General features: G+C 46.6%; 1 protein-coding gene across 1 annotated transcript in view, besides 2 other annotated features; it reads left to right on the forward strand.

Annotated features, from left to right (window-relative positions):
- ARNT2 (aryl hydrocarbon receptor nuclear translocator 2) overlaps positions 1-25272 on the forward strand; it is a 193552-nt gene that overhangs the window by 25937 nt on the left and 142343 nt on the right. The window contains exon 2 of the mRNA NM_014862.4: positions 20562-20676. Within this exon, the coding sequence (NP_055677.3) occupies positions 20562-20676 (115 nt within the window). The remainder of the gene's footprint in view (positions 1-20561; positions 20677-25272) is intronic.
- Positions 4850-5349: an enhancer, noted in NCBI's record as "H3K4me1 hESC enhancer chr15:80727509-80728008 (GRCh37/hg19 assembly coordinates)". NCBI's record gives its function as "activates a minimal SCP1, AML or CMV promoter by ChIP-STARR-seq in naive and primed H9 embryonic stem cells {active_cell/tissue: H9 hESC(naive and primed)}" and the evidence as "EXISTENCE:reporter gene assay evidence [ECO:0000049][PMID:30033119]".
- Positions 5675-6874: an enhancer, noted in NCBI's record as "P300/CBP strongly-dependent group 1 enhancer chr15:80728334-80729533 (GRCh37/hg19 assembly coordinates)". NCBI's record gives its function as "activates an origin of replication core promoter dependent on BRD2, BRD4, P300/CBP, MED14 and CDK7 cofactors, with strong dependence on P300/CBP, by STARR-seq in HCT116 cells {active_cell/tissue: HCT116}" and the evidence as "EXISTENCE:reporter gene assay evidence [ECO:0000049][PMID:35650434]".

Genomic DNA, 25272 nt, shown 5'->3' on the forward strand with positions numbered 1-25272 from the left:
CACCCGGCTGGCCACTTTTCCTCCAGACTCCAGAGTTAGGTTCACCTCATGGGAAAACAGGAAGATCATCTATGTGTCATTTATAAGATCAAACCAGATGATCAAAGCCATAACAAAGCTCCTAGGTCAAAGTTCCTCCTATCCTGGAAGCTCCTTGGATGTGTTCCCTGTTGGGATAGCCCAGGGCTAGGAGGAACCATCCCAAAGGAACAGAGCCCAAAGCTACTGTAGATGCTGACTGTCCAGTCTCAACGGGAGCTGCAAATAGCCTCAGTCCCTCTGTGCTGGCTTCTTTGCACTCTCACTCTCCTGTCTCTGAAGGGCTGGAATCTGCCTGATTCTTCATGGGTGTTGGTTGTGACCTCAGGGTTTTTCTTTGCTCTAGTGGTCTTTTTTGCCTTAGTGACAGAGAAGTAATCGGAACTGGGAAATGTGGGAATGAAGGAACGCAATCTCCTATCCTCTCTCCCACAATACACAGAACCCTGACAGCAGTTGGGCAGCCTGTCCAGGGCAGCAGTGGGCACAGATATGCAAATCCAGCACTGATCTTCCCTTAGTGGACTAACCTATGATCTTGCCCTGCACCTGCTGTGTGCTGGGCCCTGTTCTGGGTGGTGCATGTACGTGGTGATGAACCATGCACTCTCCTTCCCCAGATTCTGTCCCAGGGTTTTTTCCCACCAGCTGTCAGTCTGCCTATCTTCATTTATATCCTTCCTGGAATCCAATGTCACGATCCCCCCACAAAGCAATGGACACCGCTCAGGTACTTACATGTACCCCTGAAGCCACCTGCCACCACCACCCCATTCCCTCAAAATAAAGACAAAAACAAAACCAGAATCCTGAACCTTACATTTTCTTCGGGAGGCCACAGCCTTGGGCCTTGTGAACAGCACGCCCCCTCTGTCCTCTCTGCATGTTCTTCTCGAGGGCCTGGTGCTCTTCTGTGCAGGGGTATCACTGGGACCGTGGCAGTGGGATATAGAGCATTTGTAATCATCGTTCTTGCCATGCCCAGGTTATGGCCAGATCAGATCCACCCCCTCCCATTCCACAGCACAGGTCCTTTCCTGACCTTGCTCCTGCCAACCACTTCCCTCTGAAATCCCTTTTGCTCCTTTCCCAGTAACAATGAGGCTTCCCTTCAGGGTCCTGAAGAGGGCACAGAGGGCTCCCTGGCTCCCTTTGAGCCTGTCCTGTCTCCAAGTCCCGAAGCCATTCCCGGATGGGCCGTAGTAGGGGAGTGGGCCGGAAGATAGTCTGAAGCGGCTGGAATAGGGGTCCTTACAGACAGGCCCACCTTCCTCTCGTGATTGTCTGTTCTTCCCTTGGACCTCCTGGGCAGGCCCCTGTCTCTGCCTCCTGTCTGGCTGTTTTTCCAGGCTACCGGTTGTTGTCCCTACTTATCCAGCAGGGATCCTCATTAGGGGACACTGGCCTACCAGCTCTCTCCCTTTTGGTGCTGAGGGTGGGCTTTGTTCCTCCAGTGCTTCCTCAAAGACCCCCTGGTGGCCGAAGCCCTCTCTCAGGACCTCCTGGTGGAGAGCACCCAGCAGGGGGCTGAGCAGCTGAAGTAGCTCTCAGCTGAAGTAGCTCTCTGAAGCAACCGGCCATTCTGGGGTCGCTGCCCAGGGCCGCTCCTCCTTTTCCTCCAGGACAAGCTCAGGTATGTCAGCCTAAATGGCCCAATGGAACTGACCATGATCCTTGTGAAAGTTTTTCTCCACGGAGAATTGATGCTGCTGTCTCCTGAAAGCTCAGCTGCAAAGATTAAGGGCCTACTGTCAATAGGTAAAAATGCAGCATCTGTTTCCCATTCAACTACTGCTCCCTGGAGGGTGTGGACTTTGATGAAATAGTGCACCCGCACCAGCCCTTCACCTGCGTCTCTGGGGCACGGGGGGAACGGCAGTGTCTTGCCATCAGGTCAGCTGAATTAGAGGTAGAAGATTTCTCGCCTCTTCTTGAATTTTCTGGGACCTGATGCTTAGATCAGAGGTTGGCAAATTATGGCCAATGGGCTGCATCTGCCCTGCCTCCTGTTTTTGTATGGGCCATGAGCTGAGAATAATTTTTACATTTTTAAATTGATGGAAAAAAAACACCAAAAGAATATTCCATGACATGTGGAAATTATTTGAAATTCAAATCTCAGTGCTCATGCATTGAAACACAACCACCCCCACTCATTTATAGACTGTGTCTACGGTTGCTTTTGTACCATAACTGCAGCGTTGAGTAGTTGCCACAGAGACCTTATGGCCTTCAAAGCCTGAAATATTTACTTTCTGATCCTTCCCAGAAAAAGTTTGCCAACCTGTGGCTTAGGTGGTGCAGGTGGAGATGGATCTTCTGCTTGGGCTGAGGCCTCTGAGAGACACAACAATGTTCCCATGAACAGAGAGCTTGTCCTCCTCTATAACCAGAAGGTATGGTCTCACCATCACAGCTCAGCCTCCTGTGCTAGGAAATCCCACAGCCTTTTTCTCCTCCAGAAGCTCATGCTCCCCTATCTTCAAGTATTGGAGTCCCAAGCATAAATTAAGACATCGAGGAGCATCCCATTTGGTTTATAGTACCAAATAGCATAAAAATAACACCTTAACTGCTTTGAAAAGAAAACAGATTTTAATGCCTTGTGTGTAAACATTTTTACTGTTTTGCATATATTTTATATTTGTAGAGTAATTCACAGTTTAAAATTTAACACAAAATGTTTTTTTGGTGAATGATGGATGAATATATTCATCAAGGAATATATTCAACAAGGAAACTACTTTGTTTCATAAAACCTCTTAAAGGGGATTTTAGATCTGTGGAAGGATATGTGAGTTCCTTAATCAATTTGTTGTGTAAACAGCGGGTATGCCCACATTTTTTTTCCTTTTTAGAAAAGGCACTATATTTTATTTATTTTATTTTATTTTATTTTATTTTATTTTATTTTATTTTATTTTATTTTATTTTATTTTATTTTTTGAGACCGAGTCTTGCTCTGTTGCCCAGGCTGGAGTGCAGTGGTGCGATCTCGGCTCACTGCAACCTCTGCCTCCCAGGTTCAAGTGATTCTCCTGCCTCAGCCTCTCGAGTAGCTGGGTCTACAGGTGCACACCACCACGCCCGGCTAATTTTTGTATTTTTAGTAGAGACGAGGTTTCACCATGTTGTCCAGACTGGACTTGAACTGCTGGCCTCAAGTGATCCACCCACCACCTCCCCCCGCCTCGGCCTCCCAAAGTGCTGGAATTACAGGCGTGAGCCACCACACCCAGCCTAGAAAAGGCATTTTATAGAAATAATTGTATTTAGAGAATGAGATACCATTTTGTTACTGGAGGGGCAAAGGGAAAGCCTCTTCATTTTCTGAAGGTTTGCTGAAAAATCAACTCACAAAAGGCAGGTTAATTGGAGAAAATGGGTATAAATTTTATTAATGTGTACATGAGAACCTTCAGAATGACCCAAAGATACAGAGGAAACTGACCATTTTTATGCTTATGTTCAACAAAGTATGGACAGCCGTGTAGATATAGGATTAGACGAAAAGGGCATGATCCAATGTCAATCGGCTGAGTGGGGAAACTCAGCAAGGCCTGTCTGTTTAGATTCTTCTTGGCCTTGCTGAACGTGCATTCCTTCCTTCTGAGTATGAGGCAGGACCCTCTCTGGAATGAGGGTCTTATGACCTTCAGTCAAACAAGGTAGGGCAGATAGTTTCTTTATGGCCAGTTTTCACACAGAAAGGCAGAGGGAAAGTTAGAGTGACATCTTTAAGTTTTATGGCTGGCTTTGGGGAAAAAGGCTTCTGGCTTCCATGCCCTGCCCTGGGGCAGAGGGATTCTAGTGTCTGTGTCTAGCCTCAGGGGAGAATGGCGCTAAGAGACAGGAGGGCAAGAGAAGATCAGAGAAATAAATTTTTCCTCTGAGGATGCTTCTGAGGCCTTCATTTTGGGGTATTGTTGACTGAGTCCTGACATTTATGATTTTACAAGATTTCCTGAACAGGAAGTGCTCCTTTTTCTCCAGTTCACAATGTCACACTGGGCATCTATGGACTTGAGAATAACGGAATTGCCTTTGCTGCGTGGATTTTCTTATGCACGTTTGCTTCATTGCCATTAATCTTCACATATTACACCTAGAAACTTGAAGCCGGAAGCAAAGTCCAGAGTGACAAAGCCAGAGAAGAGAGACCTAGGAAAGAAAGCATTTGTGTGAAGGTGTGAGTGTGAGCTCATCTGTGCTTTTTGTCGGGGAGGCAGAGCATTAGTAGGACTCAGAGATGCCCAGAGGGGTCAAAGGAGTGGGGACAGAGAGCAAGGGATGCAGTGAGAGATCAAGAGAAAATCGGCAAGTGAGTGGAGGAAGAGAGGGGACAGGTAGACCGGGAGAGGGAGTGGGGAGCAGAGGAGAGGCAGGGAACGGGGAGTGGAAGAGAGAAGGAAAAGGAGAGGGGATGTCCAGGAGCAGGATAATAGATTGAAATAAAGATAAAGCCAGGAGCTCGGGTTAAGATAGGTAAGAAGTGGTACTTTCATGGAAGTTTTTCCTGAATCTTTCTGAGGTCCTGGGCGCAGGGTGGGTGGGAGATGGATACAACAGGGGAGCTGTTTGAGGCCACCTTCTCCTTTTATGTTTTCCAACTCCTGCTCCTGAGAGGCAGCACCTGGATCCTTACCTGCGGGTAAACCACTGGGATGTCTGGGGTCACTCTCCCCTCCTACCGGTTGTCGCCTGTACCACTCTCCACGCTCACTGAAGCCCAGTTTCCAGGGAGCTCCCCAATCCCTTAGTGTCTGCAGATACAGCCAACAGCCAGCACTGCCATCGGGCCACCTGGCCACACACCTCCTGCCCTCTGCCTGCCCTCGTCCTTTTCTCAGCCAGGACACCCCATTGCCTCCTCCATAGGTGCCAGCTCTGCCCGAGGTTCTCTTTCCCTCTTGGAGTGATGGAGGCTGGCAGTACAGAGTACCCTTCCCTTTAAGTTTTGGTTCTCACTTTTGAAGAACCCTGAGCCTCCAGGATTGCGGGCATAGTAACTTCCTCCTGAGAAGAGCCGTTATTGGGTCAGTCCCTGCTTCAGAAGCAGCAAGGTCCGTTGCTGCTGAGCGGAGGCTGCATGGGCCTTTGAACTGGCTTCCTTTCATCCTGGGCCCTGGTCCTCCCTTTCCCACCCCTTCCCATAGAACCATTTGCCTCCCAGTCCAAACAGCTGCCCCCCTCCCATGCACATTGCTGACCCCACAGCCCTCTCACATTCCTCTGGCTCAGAGGCCAGGTTCCCTCCCTCCCTCTGTCCACAGGAGCAGGCAGTACTAAGGATATGCTGTCCAAGGCCATTACCGGCTTAGAAGTGGGAGGCGTGTGGGCTTCAGAGACAGCTTTGAAATGGCCGTGGATCACTTGGCACTGATTTTGCACCTGAATAATTGAGAACCTTGTATGTGCCTCTTAGGGCAGCACTCAGAGCAAAATTTATCCATTCATTGATTCATTTATTCATCCGTGTCAAAAATATGTGTTGATGGTAAAAGGAATTTGAGGAGATATGGGCAAAAAAAAGGAAAAAAATGTGTTGAATGGCTAGTGCGTCCCAGCTACGATGCCATGCACATGTGCAATTGTGAGCACATTGTCTTCAGCTAACTGCACCGGAAGCCTCCACTTCCTACAGCCCAAGTCATCCCCTCCTTCATCCTTCCCCCCCGCCCTGCACAGCTCCCCTCCTTATTCAGCTTTCCCCCACCACTTTTACCTACAGACTCAGGGATGGGCCCCTTCATCTTGGATTGATGCTTCATCAGCCTGGGTGGGGCAGCGGTAGGTGAAGTCTCAACATCTTACGAGGTCTGGACTCTGATCTTACTGAGTTTCAGGATGCTGGCAGGTAAAGCAGCTGGGATCTGAGCAGTCACCAAGGCTTCTGGGAACGCCGTTCTGTGGGGCCCACTCAATCTCAAAGAAGGCGACAAGGAAAGCATGGCCATCACTGAAGGGTGTGGTGATTCCATACGACAAATGAATAGACACTGCTTCCTGACCTCGGGGAGTTCCTCCTACCTGGGGAAACAGAAACACACAGCAAGTGAGGGATTCTAACTGTATTGTGTTCCTTCACTACATCCATCCAGGTGTCCCCATCGTGGTGCCACCTCCATAGGGTTTGAGTTAAATGTACAGGAAGTGCATGTTGCTGTCCACTGTCTAAATTAGGAGTGATACTCCCAGGACACCCACATCCTCCAGATGATTAACCATCTGGTATCCTGGCGGGGGCTGTGTTTGCTTCATGACTTGTGTGGGCCCTGGCACCAGGAAGGATGGTAGCTGCTCTCGTTGTGTCTGGACAACAATCAGTACACGTGGAGAAGGGGCACATGTCCCTGGTTATGTGGACAGTCTTCATTTGTGCCTGGGATTTTAACGTCTCTGCATGCTATCTGATTTAGTATTTGTCCCACTCTCCTTCAAAGGTGTGGGTTTTGCATAATTGAGAAGGCCAGGGTATCTGTGAGCCCAGCGGGCATGACTCAAGCTTGACTCACCTTGTCTGTTACTTCCTGGTTAAACAGTGTTTAGAATCCACGAACTTATTGCCTCCTCCAGAGCCTTCTGCATCCGTCCCACTGATGGTCTCTCCTGGTTTGTGCTGTTTGGCACCTCTGGTTCCCAGAGCTCTCTGGATTTACCTGCTGTGTCACTTTTCACACAGCTTGTCCTGGCTGTTTGCTGGTCCTTCTTCTCCCTTCTCGATGGGCTCCATCTTTCCTTTCTGTATATTCAGGGCCTTATACTGTGCCATGGAATAACCTCAGTCTACCCTTTGTGGAGAGAAGTGGGCCTTCACTCCTCACTGCTCTAGCATCAAGAAGTCACGAGGTTGTGAAGGGAGCCACAGGAGGAACTGCACGCTCGTCAGGCCACTGTTACCTCTTGCCCCGACTTCAGAGCTGGTGGCGGTGTCTCCCCCACCTTGAATAACTCATCTTTTAATATTTTCTTTGCCAGAGTCTCACCCACTCCATCTCTCTTATCCCATTTTTGTCTTCTCTCCTCTTTTGTGGCCTCATCTCCCCGGTTTTTACTCTTTCCTGAGTATTTCAGATATTTTACCGTGCACATTTACTACTGTACTAATCAGAAAACCCTGAATATGATCACACCCAGGACACAGTGATAATGATGCTTCTTTCACAGTGTTGCCATGTGGATTTATGAGCCTGCTCAGGGCCTGCCACCTCTTTGAAACTCAGTAGCTATTTCAGCCTCAAATTCTGCCTTTTCCCCCTTTCATCACCTCTGTCCCATCCCTGTAGGGAAGTTTGCTCAGCTGGAGGTGGCTACACCATTTCACAACTGCCGGCTTCTGTTCCCCTCCCTCAGTTCTGTGTTCCCAATTCCCACGCAGCCTGCCCACAGAGCCGAGCATTTCACTTACCTTCGATTACATCACTTGCATTGCTTCCTGATCATAAGAGTATTATATTCTAAGTTTTTAAAACACAGAGATAATAGAAAATAAGTGGGCAGTAAAAATCCTATGTAGTCTTACCATTCAGTTATTAGCTTTGTTCCTTTTTAAAATGTATTTACCTACACACACACACACACACACACACACACACACACACACAGAGTCTCTTTCTCTGTCTGGATGTACACATATTAGAGGTGCGTTGAGTTAATTCAGTTTTCCTTAATGCTGAATGGCTGAGCATCTATGTTTGGCTGTGATTGAGGCTGATGCTGAATCATTGAATGAAAATATGACATTCTAACAAAAATAGGTATTGTTCTTATGTTATTTTTATTTATTAGGATTCCTCACATTGTAAAGTTAAACTCTAAGTCAGAAACAGTTGTATCTAGACCTTGCCCGCTGCTAGATACTCCTGTGCTTACCATGCTGCAATTTATTATACTAAATATAGACATTTGTTTGCAACTGAGTTTGGTGGAGGAATGAACTACGTTGGTTTTGTTAATTATGTCTGCATTGGTGATGATTTACTACAGATGTTATGGTGTGATATGGGAGGTTTTTTCCCCTGTGAATTTTTGAGGTGGCACAGTTGATAAACTTGGCAACTAATTTGTCCTTATAAAGATATGAAGGATTCCAAATAAGACTTTTTCTTGAAAGATGCATGGTCTAAACAGAAACAGGTAGAAAAATTTAAAATCCTAAAGATTGTTTATTGTTGTGAAGGCCAGCATACCAAACAATTCCACAAAGACATAATTTATAATATACACTAATAATCTCTTTTATTCTGTTTTATAGTAGTATTTATGGTTCTGTACATATCTTGGCTCAGAAAGAATATGACAGTCTTTGTAAAAGTAGCAAGCAAATGTTTTGCCTCTTTTTTGGGGTGGGGGGATGGAGTCTGGCACTGTCACGTGGGCTGCAGTGCAGTGGTGCAATCTCGGCCCACTACGACCTCCATCTCCTGGGTTCACGCGATTCTCCTGCCTCAGCCTCCCAAGTAGCTAGGATTATAGGCACACGCCACCACGCCTGGCTAATTTTTTGTATTTTTAGTAGATACGGGGTTTCACTGTGTTGGCCAGACTGGTCTCGAACTCGTGACCTCGTGATCCGCCCATCTCGGCCTCCCAAAGTGTTGTCTCTTAATATTTGTATTATTTCCTCACTTCCTATTAAATGTAACTATTTGTTAAAGTTCTTGATAATTGATTTGCACACAAATTTTGCATATAAAATTAATAGCTTTTACCATATGGTCAAAGATTACTGCACATTTCATTCTTGCAATAATATTTATATTTATACACCATCTGACTGGGAGAGTTCAAAATACATCATACATACAAGGAGCTTTTTAATCTGAGTACATCTAGAATGCAGATTTACATTTGAAAGTGAACATGCGGACTTGAGCAATAAGTTCATGTGGCATGGCTTATTTGTAGTATTGATGTTGTTATGCTGTAGACGTAGAGATGGTGGTGACCTGAGTATCGTAAGGCCATTGATCATGCACAAGTTCAGGGATGCCAGAAATGATCTTGCAATAGGTATTTGACTGTTTGTCCTTTCAAAGGCCAAGGCATTCATTTAGAAGCCATGGCCAAATAATAGGTTTTGGGCAAATAGTGTAGCTGAAGCTGAACTTTGATGGGTCCCTGATAAATATGTTTGCATATATGATTCTGTATCCTGCTCCATTAACTTACTCTTAGCATTTTCCTATAACATTATCTTTGAAATCATGATATTTAAAGGTTAAGTAATTTTTATCTGGGAGTATTCCATAAGTTATGAGCTTTTCTCTTTATGTCAGACTTGTTAGTTCATTTGGTTTCTGTTCAACTTCCAACTGCCTTTGGACAGTCAACATGCATCTTGGTCATTCATTTCTTTCCCCTACCTTTCATATCCTCAGCCACTGTGAAGAGGTCTCTGCAGTCATTGAGAACTGGCCTCTTCCCTTTTATACAGGAAGGTCCCTCAGGTATCTGAAGACAGTTTTATCCCTCCTTCTGCCTCAAGGACTCTCCAGGCCAACAAGTTGTGTCTCACTAGCAGGTCCTCCTCAGTGAACCCTTCACCATCCCATGGTTCTTTCTCGTATTTTTGAATGTGGAGAATCAGAGCTTTGAACCCTCCTGTGTACTCTTCCACCAGCAACCCATGCCTTGCACTTTCTCCTTCAGGGTCTGTCTTACTGCACAGGGCTCCTGATTCCCTAGACTCAGGTCTTGGTAGGCCAGAGTCTAGGTTTTGGCTGAGACTCCTTCTAAGACCTCATTAGGGACATTCAGTTCACTGACGGACACCAATCCTTCCAACCTAGATGTTCTGGGCTGGCTTCTGTGTGATTGATGACACACACTTTCTTCTGATGGTCTGCGGCTTCTAGGTTTGACTCAAGCATGAGACAAGTCATGGGTGGATGTCTCATTGCAGTTAGACCTGTGGGGTCATCTCGCACAGAGTGGGGCAGGTTGAATGGGTCACTCATCCTTGTTGTCTTGCTCCAGAATCATATCCTTGACAGCAGCCTCTCCACTTTTCTTCCATTGGAATTACTGGTTACCCATCTTCTTGCTGGGTCTGTTTTATTTTTACTCCTTTTACAAATTTCAGCACAGAGATTACAGGACTTCAGCCCACAGGGTGGAGAAGGAAGCTGGAGTTAGTGGGTTCGGACACTAGTGGGAACATGGGGAGTGACACCATAGTGTGCTGTAGTGCAGTGCCCCTGTTCCAGAGGAGAGCCAGAGCTCTACCTGAGCCAGCACTGTTAGCTGAGGTGGGAGGGCATCTCCCCGGGCTGCCTTGGGACTGGTTTCAATTCCCTAATGCCAAAACCTGCCTGCCTACTAGAAGGGGCTCAGGCAGGCATCCAGGGCTCGGTATCCAGGCTGGAAGCACCAGCCAGAGGAGACAGGACCTGGCCTCTTCTTGCTTTCCCAGGTCCAGTGGCCATCCTCTTCTCTATTGCAGAGACCTTGGCCCAGCCTGCTGATCAGAAAAGAATGTCTTACAGAGGATCTCACGGCTGGTTAAAGCCGAGCATGGATCTGCAGTCAGAGTTCTCTGATTCTCAGTCTAATGATTTTCTGTACATTGTGCTATAAAAATGCTACCCCATGGAGGCCCTTTGGGAATCATGTGCCCTGTCTTCATTCCAGAAGTAAGAGGGACCCTCCCTTGCTTGGACTTCAAGAAAAATCCTTTATTATCTCTCACTAAAATGTTTGGATAAGAATCTAGATTTTTCAAATATGCATTTGTTATGGTTTCATAGGAAATCCAAGTAACCGATTTTTCAGAACCTAAGCAGTTAATGCTAGAAATTTTGCTGCAAATAAATTGATCAGTATGCAAGACAGTTGTCACGGCTGAATCATGGTCCACAGTTAAGGTAAACAGATCTGTGATGACATTTTCTCAGCAGAATACAAATGCAGCTACATTTCCTCCCAGAGGTTTCTGACATTTCTTCTACACGGATAACAGATTCTCCTAAGAAGGTGTTGGTCACAAGGAAGAAAGATCTTTGTTTAATCCCTCTGAAAAGGTAGGGCTGTGATATTTGATGTGCTTTCTGTGAAGAGAATTGTTCTAAGAGAGATGAATATTGAGAAGAGCGTTTTTCTTTGGTTAGTTGCCTGCCCTCACCCCCCTCCCAGCCATGGAAAGAGCCTTTTGGTTTTTCATTTATTTGAATGGCCATTAAAATATTGTGTGTTGTCATGTTGTGAAAGTTTGCATGTAATTGATTTTTTCCCAATGTAAAGATCAGGGGATATTTTTCTTACTTGGATTCACATGAAATGTAGGGAGAGCAAGATGTCTTTTTTTCCATTTCCTCCTGTTCCTTTCATCTGTAATGCTCTCAAGTTCCACGTTTTTTCCAGGTTTTCGCTGCCTACACTGTATTATAGGAATTCTACACAGTACGTCTGCATCTGAAATGTGAAATAGTCTGTAGCTAGATGCTGCATTATAAGCCAGATATGTTTTCTGTGTTACGGTGAACCTTACAAAATCTTTAGCTTGTACTGATTTTTAAATGAGCTCCAAACCTCATTCCAACTTTGCCTAAGAGCAGACAGTCATTTCCCCTCTGTGTGTAATGGGAAACAATTTCCTGAGGGGATATTTGCATTTGGAGTCAGACTGCTGCGAATACAGATATTTCTGTCTATTTGTGCATTTGCCATCGGTTATGATCAGGGATCTGAGCAGAGATCTAGACAAGAGCGTTGCATTTGAGTGGGGGAATAACTCTCGATCTGTAGGGAGTTGCAGTTGGGATAAAAGACCAGAAATCTCCAGGGACTGGAAATGAACAAGAAAGCATACCCCTCAGAGGGGGCTAAATGACTCTGCTCAGAAATTCTGGAGCAGTCAAAGGAACGCTTTTTAGGAAACGGCATCTTTCCCATCGTACTTCGTTCCTCCCAGAGCATTTTTTGCAGTCCATTGCCAGGTTAGCATAGGGGTGGTGTCCTCCAGGAAGCCTTCTCAGATCTTCCCAGCCTTCCCCACCACATGGTATCCAGCATCCCTCACAGCATGCATTTCTCAGTGTGAAATTACTAGGCTCTGTGCCTCCATCACACTTAAGCTGAACTTGTCAGAGGCAGGATTGGGTCCTTTCATCTCTGACCATCGTTCAGCTTCTAGCACAGCCCCTGGCTCAAAAGAAGAGCTTTGCAAATGCTGCTTATAATTGAAACAGAGACCACTTTCTCACAGCAACCTCTGCAAAAGGAAATAATGTCCTGATAAACTCCATGTCTTAGCTGAGGAGAAACTGAGGAAAATAGTGATGAAGCCAGAGCTAGAAGTAGGCTGCTACTGAATGTGTGGCCCCCTGATTCAATGAACCGAGGAATGTGTGAGCACTTGTACCTCTACTTTGCTGCGAAAGTCCTCCTGTATTGAGCATGTGTGGCATGGTAGTTGTAAATATGCAACTGGCCCAATCATATTTTTCTTCTGTCTCTAAAATTTTTTTTGCCCTATACAGTGTAGGAGGATCAGGTGACCAAGGTTTTTTAGAATTTTCCCTTTTTGGGATCTGACGCCGACACACTATTTTGAGGCAGTGACATCATCTCTTTCCTCTGGCGTGCCCTCCTTGCGGCTCCATCATTCAGGCCTTGTCATCTCTCACCTGGACTGCTGTGACCTTCATTCATTCCCAGGAGAAGTCCAGGTACAGTAAGAATGAATCACCAGGGACCAGACCTGGACTGGGTAGGGGAGGGGTTGTTCAGAGACAGGCCTCCTTGAGGAGTGATATTTGAGCAAAATCTAAATGACTGTAAGGAACTAATGAGGTGAAGAGAGAGAGGAGAGCTTTCTTGCCAGAGGACATAGCATATGCAAAGGTCCTGGGGTCAGAACGGAACATAGTGTGTTCAAGAAACTGATAAGGCAGCATGGCTGCAGCCAGAGAGGTAGGCTGGAGAGGTAGGCAGTGGCCTGATCACACAAGAACAAGTTGATGATGGCAGGGAACTCCAGGTTTGGGCTAAGAGGAAAGAAAATGTGTTAGAAGACAGAGGCAAGGGCTGGCCTTGTCTGATGTGGCTTCCGAGTGTGGAATGAGTGGGAAGGACAAGAGTGGAATGCAGGAAGGTCAGGGGCGTCCTGAGGCAGGCCAGCAGCAGAGCCCAGAAGATGGAGAGACCTCTCGGAGGTAGCAGCAGGGCTTGCTATTGGATTGGAGAAGCAGCAGCGGAGGCAGCGCTGCTGCCAGGCACCTGGATGAGTTCACCTAGGAGGACACATATGATAGGAGGCTGCACAAGATGCCCTGAGGTCTGGAAGAGGAGGAAGAACAGGCAGAGGAGGCCTAGGAAGAGGGGCCTGAGGCAGGAGGTGAAGGACGTGGTCCTGGAAAACCAGGCGAAAATGCTTGAGACAGAGCAGGGGGCCACATCCCCATAGAAGGTCAGGGGCAGAAGAGCCACTGTTTGCCTTCACAAGAGTGGCCTTGTGACGATGGCAGCTCTCTAGTGGGGTGACAGACGAGAGAAGGTTGAAGGAAGCATGGGAGGCGAGGAACCAGCAAGGGGAAGCAGCTCTTTGGTGGTTTTGCTTCATGAAGGGGAGCGGATTACTTTTCCTTGTGTAATGGAAAATTCGGCCTTGGCTTTTGAGATTGATTTGAATTTTGATGTGTGTTATAGAATGTGTTCATGTTTCTATGCTGCACCAGATGCCTGTCTTTTCCAAATGTGGCAAACCCTCAGCTGCATGGGGAAATCGAGGTGAGGGTCCTGTTCTTCACGCCCATTTCAAATGAGTTCCTTGCCAGGCGCTGCTTGAGCTACCCGTGACAAACTGGAAACAAGAGGGGATGGATGACTTGTCCAGGATCCCTGGGTTTCCTTCTGAAGGGTGCGTAGGGCTGTGGGGTCCCAGGGCTGTGACAAATGGAGGGCACACTTCCCCGCTCAGGCGAAGCTTACCATCAGCGAGGAGGAAGTTGTTCCCTGTCAGGTCTGGGGTGGGCGGTGTGTGTGGTTTGTGTGTACGTGGTGTGTGTGTGTGTGTGTGTGTGTGTGGTGTGAGAGAGGTGTCTGTGGTATGTGTATGAGTAGTGTGATGTGTGTTTATGGTGTGTGTGTGGTGTGTATGTTGGTTTGAGTGGTTTGTGTGGTGAGATTTCTGTGAGTGGTGCATGTGTGTGGTGTATGCATGGTGTGTTTATTGATGTGAATGGTGTGTGCATGTGTGGTTTGTGTTGTGTGTGGTGTGTGGGGGTGTGTGTATATGATTGGTGTATGAGCAATGTGTGTTGTGTTTGTGAATGATGTGTGATGTGTGTGCGTGGTGTGTGTGTGAGTGGTGTGTGTAGGTGTGTTGATGTGAGTGGTGTGTGTGTGGTGTGTGTGAATGCTTTGTATGAGTTGATGTGAGTGGTGTGAGTGGTGTGTGTGTGGTGTGTCCAAATGGTGTGTGTATGTGAATGGTGTGTATGTGTGTTGTGAGTGGTATATGTGTGGTGTGTGTGTGAATGGTGTGTATGTGTTGAGTGATGTGAGTGGTGTGTGTGGTGTGTTGGTGTGAATGCAAATGGTGTGTATGTATGTTGCTGTGAATGGTGGGGGAGTGTGGGTTGTGTGAGTGGTATGTGATGTGTTGTGTGTGAATGGTGTGTGTCGTGTGTGTGTGAATAGTGTGCATGTGTGTCGATGTGACTGATGTGTGTGTGGCATGTATGTGAGGGTGTGTACGTGTGTTGATGTGAGTGGTGTGTGTGATGTGTGTGAGTGTTGTGTATGTTGATGTGAGTGGTGTGTATGGAGTGTGTGTGGTGTGTGTCACTGGTGTGTATATGTGTTGATGTGAGTGGTGTACGCAGGGTGTGTGGGGTGTGTGAGTGTTGTGTATGTGTGTTGAGAGTGGTGTGGAGGGGTGGGGTGTGTATGAGTGATGTGTATGTGTGTTGATATGGGGTGTGTGCAGGTGTTGTGTATATGTGTCGAGAGTGGTGTGGGGGTGTGTGGTGTGAGTGGTGTGTTTGTGTGTTGATGTGAGTGGTGTATGTGGAGTGTGTAGGGTGTGTGCAGGTGTCGTGTATGTGTGTTGAGAGCAGTGGGGATGTGTGTGGTGTGTGTGAGTGTTGTGTATGTGTGTTGATGTGAGTGACGTGTGTGGGGGTGTGTGGTGTGTGTGAGTGGTATGCATGTGTGTTGATGTGATGATGTGTGTGTGTGAGTGGTGTGTGACGTGTGTGTTGGTGCATGAAGCCCTGAGAGGAGGTGGGTGGGAGACAGGATGGAGGAGGCCGGTGCAGCATGGACTGGGTGCAGGCTCCCAGCTCAGGACTCAGCTCCGCACAGGGAGACCCGAGTGGGGTCTGCACTCCCTCCTGAGATCCGGGTGGGCCTGACAGCTGATGCAGAGACAGGACTCTGGGTAGAGGGACCACTGGAGGTCGGAACAGATGGAGCACCTCATCTCAGGCTCACGGGGTTTGCAGCTCCTCCTTCTGTCTCTGGCCACAGCCTCACGTGGGGGATCGTGTTACGAGTGGGGTGCTGAGGAGTCCAGAGGGCCTTCTGCCCCCTCTGCCCCTCTGATCTCTCTTGCACTCCTGTGAGTTAGAACCAGAAAAGCAACATTATCAAAGTGACTCAAGTCCTTACCATAGCAAAATGACTCTAAGTGGTGTTAGCATCTGTGTGTGTGTATTTTTATTGAACACTTACATGTGCTTACGCTGTGCCAGGCATCATTCTAAGTGCTTTACAACGATTAGCTTCTTTAATCCTCATAACTCCAGGAGGTGCGTTGCTATCCCCATTTTGCAGATAGAAAACCAAGGCACAGAGAGGCTAAGTAATTTGCTCAAGGGTTATATAAAGATCACACGTACATACAGGTATAATGTCTGCTTGGAAAAGACGTTCTGTGCTAGGCGAAAGTAACAGAGGAGAAGGAACATTTCTTCTACTAGACATGATAAATAATTGGCTTTCCTTAATACTTACAATAACCGTGTGATGTAAGTATTTTCCTGATCTTATAGAGGGGGAGACTGAAACTTAGCGAGGTTCAATAGCTTGCGCACGGACCCCATGGCTAGATGGAGTGACCCCAAAGCATGAACATGTCCTACGTGCCATACAACTTTCATCTGGGCCTGTGATTGAGAATCGTGGCCTTAGCACATCTCTTGCCACCCCAGGGAAGGATCTGCCTAGCCACCTGGCCTCCGCCTGGGCACCACAAGGGACAGGGACCCCACAGTGGGTGGCCAAACACGTAAGAGCCTGCTCTGCCCTTCACTAGCCATGTTACAGGGTACAGGGCTGACCGGTCCCTGCCGAGTTTCCTAATCTGTAAAATGGGATGAATTTCCATTTACTTTATAGGGTGGATGTAAAGCTTGTGCAAAGAAGATGGCAGAGTGCTGGAAACACAGTCAGTACCCAACATAAATCTTAGTTTAGGTAAAATTTTATCATTGTTCTTAAGCCAATCCGTCCCATTATTGGACACTTACTATTTAAAAAGGGCTTCCCCTTCCTCTGTCTCTGTCTCATTCATTCATTGCTTCCAGTTCTCACCAGTTATATATACTTTCTCCTGTGTCTTCCACATGAAACCCTTTAAAAAGTATTATTCTATTTGTGATCACTCAATTGACATATCATTAAATTAACACATGCATTGGGAGAAAATTAGAATATTCAAAAAAACAAGAAGAGCTTTTAGGATAAAATAAAACCCACCTATAATTCTCACAACAGGAATAGCCAAGTTTAACATATTAGTGTGTTTCTATCTGCCTTCTAGTCTTTTTTCTGTGCATATAACACACACACACACACACACACCCTTCCTCTCATCTCCCATCACAGCAAGGGAGAAGCTATGTCTGTGTTAGGTCCAGGACAGTGGGGAGTGTGTTTGCTGTGTGTCAGGGGTGTACATGTGCATGAATATTCTAATGTCTGTTGACACAGACTGCTGAGCTCTCCTCTGGAAAGGCTCTACTCATGAATACCCACAGCTGCAGGGTATGGTGGTGGCTGCACAGCCACCCTGGAGGTATCCAAAGTGTGATTTCCTCCCTATACAGTGCAGTGTTCAGTTCTCTTGGTGAGTGAAATTCAGAAACCCTGGAGCACATCATCAACTGGCTTGCAGGGCTGCTCTTCATCTGAAGGTTTAGCCAACTTTGCTCTATTGATACCAGGCCTTGTCTTTGGGACTGTCACCTCCAACCTGAACAGGGACCTTCCTAAGCCACCTTCTTTGGATGGACATCCCAAGAACTTTGCTTGCTTCGACTTGAGTCACAGAGAAAAGATGCCAGATTTGGGAAGCGGGTGCCAGACTTTTCCAGGGAAGGCTGACAGCTGATCACATTATAGATACGGACATAGATTGCAGAGGAGAGAGACTTGTTTTTTCACTTTTGTTTGAATTTATTAAGGGTGGCTCCTAAAAATCAATATTAGAGAAAATATTTTATCTTTAAAGTCAATGTTAGTCTCATCGATTGCATTTTCTGTTTGGCTTATTTAGTATCCAGAACACTTAATTACAAAAAATAGCATTTGATAAAATGAGGCATCCATTCCTTAAATAAACTTTTTAAAGTAGACATAGGAGCAGATTCCTTGACAACAGAAACAGTGTCTGTCTTAAACCAGCAGCTCATTCCAGTTAAATGCAAGGCTCAAGCAAGATTGCTTACCATCAGCATAATCATGATCATTTTAATTATTGTTGCTTGAGTGTTTTTTTTTCCCAAGCACTATGTTAGGCTCATCACATACCTTGTCCTTAATTTTTAAAATGCCCCTTCAAGGTACATATTATGAACATTTCACAGCTGACACTTTGACCTAGAGTAGCCCCGTCACTCATAGCTGGGAGGTGTTTGAGTTGTGATTTGAAACCAGATATATCTGACTGCAAGGTAGTGACTTTCTTTTACCTCATGATAGGTCATTTTTACTCAATATTGCTCTGAAAGTTCTGGCCAATGAAATAGGACGTGAAAATAAGAAACTAGACATGAAATCAGACAAGAAAAAGAAAGATCACTTGTGGGCACCCACGCAGGTCATCTAATCTCTCTTTGCCTTGCTCCCTTCATCTGTTGGAGGAAAGAAAGGACTTGGTTTTCAGTGTTCCTCATCCTTTGCCCCACCAGCCAAGGTTTTGGGGAGCTTTACTTTTTTCAACTTATATTGCCAAAACTATCGGCATTTTTGTTTTACCCAAATTAAATTCAGGTGATTGGAACGGGGAAGGGATGACAACATTTCTAGGATTACCAACAATGGCTAAGATCTCTTCCAGCCTGAAATTTCCTCAACTCGAAGGCAGGAATGAGGTAATGGCTTTAAAATACCAAAACTTGGGCCTGGCGCGGTGGCTAACGCCTGTAATCCCAGCACTTTGGGAGGCCGAGGTGGGCAGATCATGAGGTCAGGAGATGGAGACCATCCTGGCTAACACGGTGAAACCCCATCTCTACTAAAAATACAAAAAAAATTAGCCGGGCATGGTGGCGGGCGCCTGTAGTCCCAGCTACTCGGGAGGCTGAGGCAGGAGAATGGCGTGAACCCGGGAGGTGGAGCTTGCAGTGAGCCAAGATCACGCCACTGCTCTCCAGCCTGGGTGACAGAGTGAGACTCCGTCTCAAAAAAAACAAAACAAAACAAAACAAAACAAAAAACCAAAACTTGTGCTGCTTAGAACATTAGCTGAGCAGGTGATCCATTTTTAAAGTTTCCACAATTAGAGATATTTATGATATACTGGGATAACCGAAGTTAAGCAATCCTCTTTATATAGGTAGGACTTGTCAATATGTTTTTAGTGGATGTTGGAATCTCCAAGAAAGGGGGTAAGTGCACAGCTTTTTTCTTAACTTATTTGACCATGGAACTCTGTTTCTTGGAGAATCTTAAGGGGCTGCTGTTCTGTGGAACTTATTTTAGAAAGTAGTGACTTTCATTGTCATCTGTCTTTGCTGTAACAGTGATTCTGCCCTTCAGTTTGGGGACATAATGGACTCAATGTGTTTTAGCCTCCATTTCAGAAAAATATAAATATTTTATCAAAGCAGGCAGATGATAAAGTTGTTGGGTTATTGCTTTTAATACTGTCTAGCTGTCACAAACTCAGTTGTCTAAAGGGGAGAGAATTACTTTAAGAGGAGGATTTTTTTTTTCTTTGAGGACTTTTTGATGTGTACCTTGGTTTAAAAAACAAAACAAAAGTGTAATCATTCCCCAAGTTTTGTGGACATAGCAAGATGACTAAATTAAGCTTTTGTTTATTGTGAAATTGTATTGTGTATTGTAAAATTCTTCTTCAAGAGTTTTGAGTGGGATAGTTCAAGTTGAGCTTCAAATGTGTTTATTAAACATACAGTGTTTTGGGGCGTAACTGTGGGTCAACTGTCACAGGACTCCCTGAGTTCTACTGAAAGGAAACAGAGCAGTAGCCTACACCAACCATGCACTGTCAACATCACCAGGCATCTCTCTCCACTAAGAAGGGCCCAGATTCCTTATGTATCCTGACCCATCTTTTATATATATTTTTGTAGATTGCTGCTTCCCTTCTTCCCCTGGGTAAAAGTTGAGCTAAGAAAAGCTAACACTGTGGAAGTCGTTCCCAACCACGGTAAACAGAATCACAGAGGCCACTTGAAACATTTGTCGAGTCATGGAATGGTCTGGGAAAGGGTGCCTGAGCTTAGGAGCTCTCCGTTAAGTAGGAAAGAGAGACTGCTTAGTGTGGTTTCTTTGAAATCAGGGATGCTTAACATGACCTTAACGAGCTTCCAAAATTATCTGGCTTATAAGAAATAATGTCTTGGCCACAATGTGCAGGAAAGGTACTCTTATTTAGTAATAGACCTTCTTATTCTTTAAATTAATATTTATTCCTGAAAAGGTCCAGCTCTGGAGATCCAGGAAGCCTCAGCCTGGCCTGCTATAGCCTGAAGTGATGCTTTTAACACCCTAGAGCTCACTGTCTTCGTCAATAACAGAGGGGCCAAGCAGGGCTCAGATACTCAGGGCTTCTGAGTCCAGAGTAGGCGTGGCAACCAGCCTTTCTGCTTGAACACGAACCTAGGGCAACGGAGGGGCAGTGGCGGGCACTGCAGCAGGGCGTTGCCTCTCAGGGCGTGTGCCCCATCTGGGTTACCAGGAGTTGGTTCTTTCCCTCAGGCCTTAGCTGTGCTGCTCGGATTCCTCTGCATCTTACCTGCCTCCAGGTGGTCAGGAGACAGGAGTCCCTTATGAAAGCTGCTAAGCTCTTTTAATTCTGTTTAATTCTGTGGTTAAACTGTTTAACCACTGTTCCAATCAGTAAATATGAGAGTACTGCCAGAGATACCCTTTTCCAGAGAAAGAGGAAAGACTTGCCCCAGCCACATAGCTGATGATGGCAGAGCGGCCGCAGGATGCAGGTCCCTGGGCTCTCTGCGCAGGTGGTGCTTCTGGTACCGTATCACAACTTTCTTGCCCGTTACTGGGCTTTTCTGGCATTGACAAAACCTCTTGTCTTTGCTGAATTCCAGAAATGGCTTCAGACATACCTGGATCTGTGACGTTGCCCGTTGCCCCCATGGCGGCCACCGGACAGGTGAGGATGGCGGGGGCCATGCCTGCCCGTGGAGGAAAGCGGCGTTCCGGGTAAGCGACCTCAGCGTTTCCAGGAATTGGCTTAATAAATGTTGAGCAATGCTCTTGACCTGTTAGGAAAATATTGTTTCTCCCCTTCCTGTAGAATAAAAGCTCAGCAGTTTGCATCCTGTTTAACTTTTACAAGATTCCTAAATATGCACATGATTTGCTTCTAAGTGTTTTGGGCCTCGGCACCCAGCTGGGGACTTCTGTTTGCTTGTCCTTGTGGTGAGAATGTGCTTTGTGATCCTGCTGGGCCTGGCTCAGGCCATCTGAAGGGAGAGGGCTCACCCGTTATCCTGCCTGAGCCTCCAAGCCAGATTTGGCAGCACTGCTGCGCTGAGCTCCAGCCCCTGTGGGCTGCAAAGATTCCACCCTGGTGCTGTCCATTCTTTCCTCCTTCAGAGATGGTGTGCAGGAATTCCTTTCAAAATAATTGGCTAAATCTCAGTGCTTGAAGACCAGACAGTTGGCATTGTCTGCTGCTCTGCTGGTGAAGGTGGTAATAATACTAAGTACTATTGTTCCAAGTGTACTTGTTCTGATAGGGCCAGAAATGTCATCACTCTTGAGCAGATGGAACCAAAACTGCACCTATTCATGATCCATAATGTTTGTGGCTGTACACAGACCTGAAAAACCAACCAACCAACCAACTAACCAACCAACCAACCAACCAACTACCCACCAACCATCCAACCAACCAACCAATCAACCAACTAACCAACCAATCAACCAACCAACCAACCAACCAATCAACCAACCAACCAACTACCCCCCAACCATCCAACCAACCAAAATCCTGCAGGAAAAACATGATGGACATTTTCAGACTCAAGATATCACCTAGCCCCTTTCTCCTGTTGAATCTATTTTATTTTCGATGCACTATTTGATAAACAAGGTTTCTCATGAAGTTGAATCAATTTGTACTTTTAAAGCAATTTCTGATAACACACAGCTCCTTGGGAATGCAACTGTCTGGTTACAGCAGAACCCACTTCTCACAGCCCAAGGCCTGCAGGGTGTGCCCGTTTTTAGGTGGTCCAATATGATTCTTAAAGGGGGCATAAGTGGAGGCAATGGGAAGTATCAGGATCTGGGATGGAGTGTGGCTAGAATGCAAAAGCATATTCAGCCTTGTAATTTTAGGTTGGAAAAAAGACTGTTATGTGTGTTGTATAGTCTCTAAAGGAGGGCCTGAGATTTTTATGATGAGGGAGAGGGTTAAAAAGCCCAGCAGCAGAGCTCAGTGGTTATGCCAGCTTTCCCTGTATTCAGCACGCTCACTTGCACTCGCTGGGTGCTGATACAGCCACTTCTCTCTCTGCAGCTGCCACCATCTTTACAGCAGAACCAGCAGAGCTATAATGAGCAGTGTTGGTGCCTGGGGCAAAGCTCCACAGATCAACTCTGTAATAAATGATGTGGCTCACCGCTGGGGCTTCCTGCAAACCCAGCCATCCGATTTCAACCAGCCATTCTTGCTAACTAGGTGCTAAACTCAGCAGTTGCTAAAAGAAGACAAGAGGTGTCAACTTAATTGATTTTTTTTACAATTCCAGGCCTTTTAAAATTATTTTAAATGTCTATGTGCACTCTAACTCGCATTCCCTGAGGACAGAGCCCCATTGCTTGCCCAAGTCCTTTTCCAGAAGAGGCCAGCACAGGGCTCTGTGAGGAGGGAGGTGGGCTGAGTCAGGACCAAGTCCAGGCAGAGATGCTCAGGCCCAGCCTAGTACTTACAGGACCAGAAACCGTCTCTGTGCTGGGAAGTCGCCTCTGAGCCTCTGCCAGGAGTTTCCTCTTCCCCTCCCGTAGGGCCTGGGCTGCGGTGAGCCGAGGCTGCTTCCCTCCTCGGCCTCCATGTTTCTGACCCCAGCCTGGTGTCCACACCCTGATTTGTGGTTGCTCCCCGAGCTGATGATTTGACTGGGGACCCAGTCCCATTTCTTTTTATTTTATTTTTAGAGACAGGGTCTCGCTCTGTGGCCCAGGGTGGTCTTGAACTCCTGGCCTCAAGCAATCCTCACACCTTGGCCTCCCAAAGTGTTGGGACGACAGGCATGAGCCACTGCATCTAGCTTCAGTCCCATTTCTGAAGAAGTCCTGCACCACTGTGCTTTCCTTCCCGGGTCACACACACAGCGTGGCACTGGAGGCAGATGTGGATCCTGAGCAGGCAGAGACAGAGCCTAGCATGGAGTTCCACTTAAAGCCAAGGGAATGAAACATCAAGAAAAGCAATGAGAGAGGAAGGAGGATGAGCAGCAATTGCTGACAAATCACCCAGGGGCAAGGGCAGGACCTGTGGAAGGCAAATCAATGGGCTTGACCTCTCTAGGGTGCTTGTCCTCCACCATCCTCACTCCTACTTCCTTTTCCCTGCCGGAGGGAGGGGGCACACAAACCATGATTCCACTTGCCAAGCCTCAATGGCTTAGAGATGTATCCTGTGTCTAAGCAAAGAAACCTCCATTTTTACAGGGCCGTTTCCATAGTAATTCTTGCATCTGACGTTTTTACATGTTTTGCTGAAATTCTATGACTGAGGCCTCCGCTGTTCTAGAAGCTCATGATAATAGCTCCTTCAACCACAGCCTAAACACTTAACTAAGTACAAAGGAGACCCTGATGGAAGTCACTCACTCTCATCGAAATGCAGGTAACCCCATGGCAGGCCCCTGCTCCTGTGCCATGGCACGCATTTCCCACTGCCCTCCCTACTGATGGCATGGTGTTCTTCCACCTCCCTTTTCCATCTGAGAATGTGGGACATGGTGGAGAGACTCAGAGAGAGAGGGGAAAGAAGAGAGAGGAGGAATGGGGGTGGTGGAAGGGGGTAGTGGCATTGGCAAGGACCTTCCCACACCCCCATTCCTTGCCTAGGTCTTCCCACTCTGACCTGATTATTCTGATGGAGGGAAGTATCCCAAATTTCCAGGATAACCCCCCTTCCCACCCTAGTGTTCCAAAGCCAATTAGAACCAATGTCTTGCAGTTGGGATCCTCCAGGCCTCCCGCCGGGCCTAGCACTGTGGATCTTCATGGTTTAACTTTCTTCCCATTTCCCTGACAGCCTTCATCAGTAAGTGTCTTAGCGAGCTGCCTGCTCTCCCAGCATTTGGGACTCAAGGTGGAGGTTCCAAAGTCCCAGATTCTTTCAAAAGTGATTCCACATGCGTGGGAGAAATGAGCTGAAGCAAGTCACCTGGAATGCATGTTTGTAGTAACCTCCCTGATCTCAGTGACAGGGTGGTGAGGGGTGGGGGGCTTCACTGGGGCAAATTCAGTTGGGGGAAGCAGCAGTGGCTAGTTAGGGTTTGTGCCCATCTCAAAGCCAGCTTTTGATGGGTTGGAGGGTGGAGGCTGAGGGCAGGGATGTGTCAGTCCCTTTCCACTTGGAGTCCGATGCTGGGCTTCTAAAATAGCATCACTGAGGAAAAACTATTTTCAAGTTACTTATAGCCAATGGACTATTTTCAAGTTACTTGTAGCCATCTCCCTCTAAGGTAACCCTGGGAGCTGCTGGAATGTGGTCAAATTGCAGGTATATTTATGTAAGCAGCTGTTTCTCTTGGTGAACTTTTATGTGCTAGCATTGCTGCAGTCTGGGCTGGCCAGTCCAGGCTCTGAAGGAGGAGCATTTTCCAGCAGCCCTTGACACTTCACTTGTTGCAGAAGCTTTGGGTTGGCCCAGGATCACTCCTTTACTGTCACTGTGGGACCAGCCCTTTTATCTCACTAGAGCATAAGTGACTTCTGTTTAGAGGCTCGTATTTGATGAAGCATTATTATGATTACAGTCACCGTCAGGGAGCTTCACTTCACTCACAACTAACTGCAAGTTCAGAAATGCTTATCATGGCTTTCTGTCGAGGCAGGCATTCAGGCTCATCGACGGAAAAGTACAGTAAAATGCATTTTCAGCCCCCTTTTTGAAGACTCTTCTATCATCCATTCACTGTGTTGAATTAAAGTGAGTACAATAGGACTTAAAAGTCATATTTTGATTTCTCTCCTTTATTATCCAGATGCTGCTGTGTAATAGAGACACATACAAGATATAAAACAAAGGATGATTTACTTAGACTTATAGAAAAGAAATAGGCACAGCTTATGGTAGTCCTATGTAAAGTAGAGAATCCAAGATGGTGATAGCAGTCCAAAGCAGCAGCATCTTGGCAGGTGTGGCTCTAAAAGATCCTTTGTGTCCTCCAGGGTTGCATTGTTTTCCATGTTGCTGATGAGCCAGTGAGACTGTTTTCGGGTGGATTGAGTCATCCTGAGTATTTAAACATTTGTGTCCTGATTTACCTCCTGGTTCGCCTCCGAATTCCTAGAGCTGATGGCTGTACACATGCACAGGTGTGAGGCACAGGATCTGGGTCCCTAATTTTCCCAGACAAATGCTGGTTCCCAAGTTCCCGGCGGACTTCAGAAGACTCTGGCTCTGGAGCAAGGCCATCTCTTTCTCATACCCTCTGCTTGATTGAGCCACAGCTGACCTGGCCAGCGTGGTATTATTTACCATGGGGCTCACTTCCTTATCTGTCTGGTCCCACAAAGGGCTGGGTAAAGAACAGAACTCTTTGCAAAAACAAA

This window comes from Homo sapiens, chromosome 15, assembly GCF_000001405.40.
Source record: "Homo sapiens chromosome 15, GRCh38.p14 Primary Assembly".
NCBI lineage: Eukaryota > Metazoa > Chordata > Mammalia > Primates > Hominidae > Homo > Homo sapiens.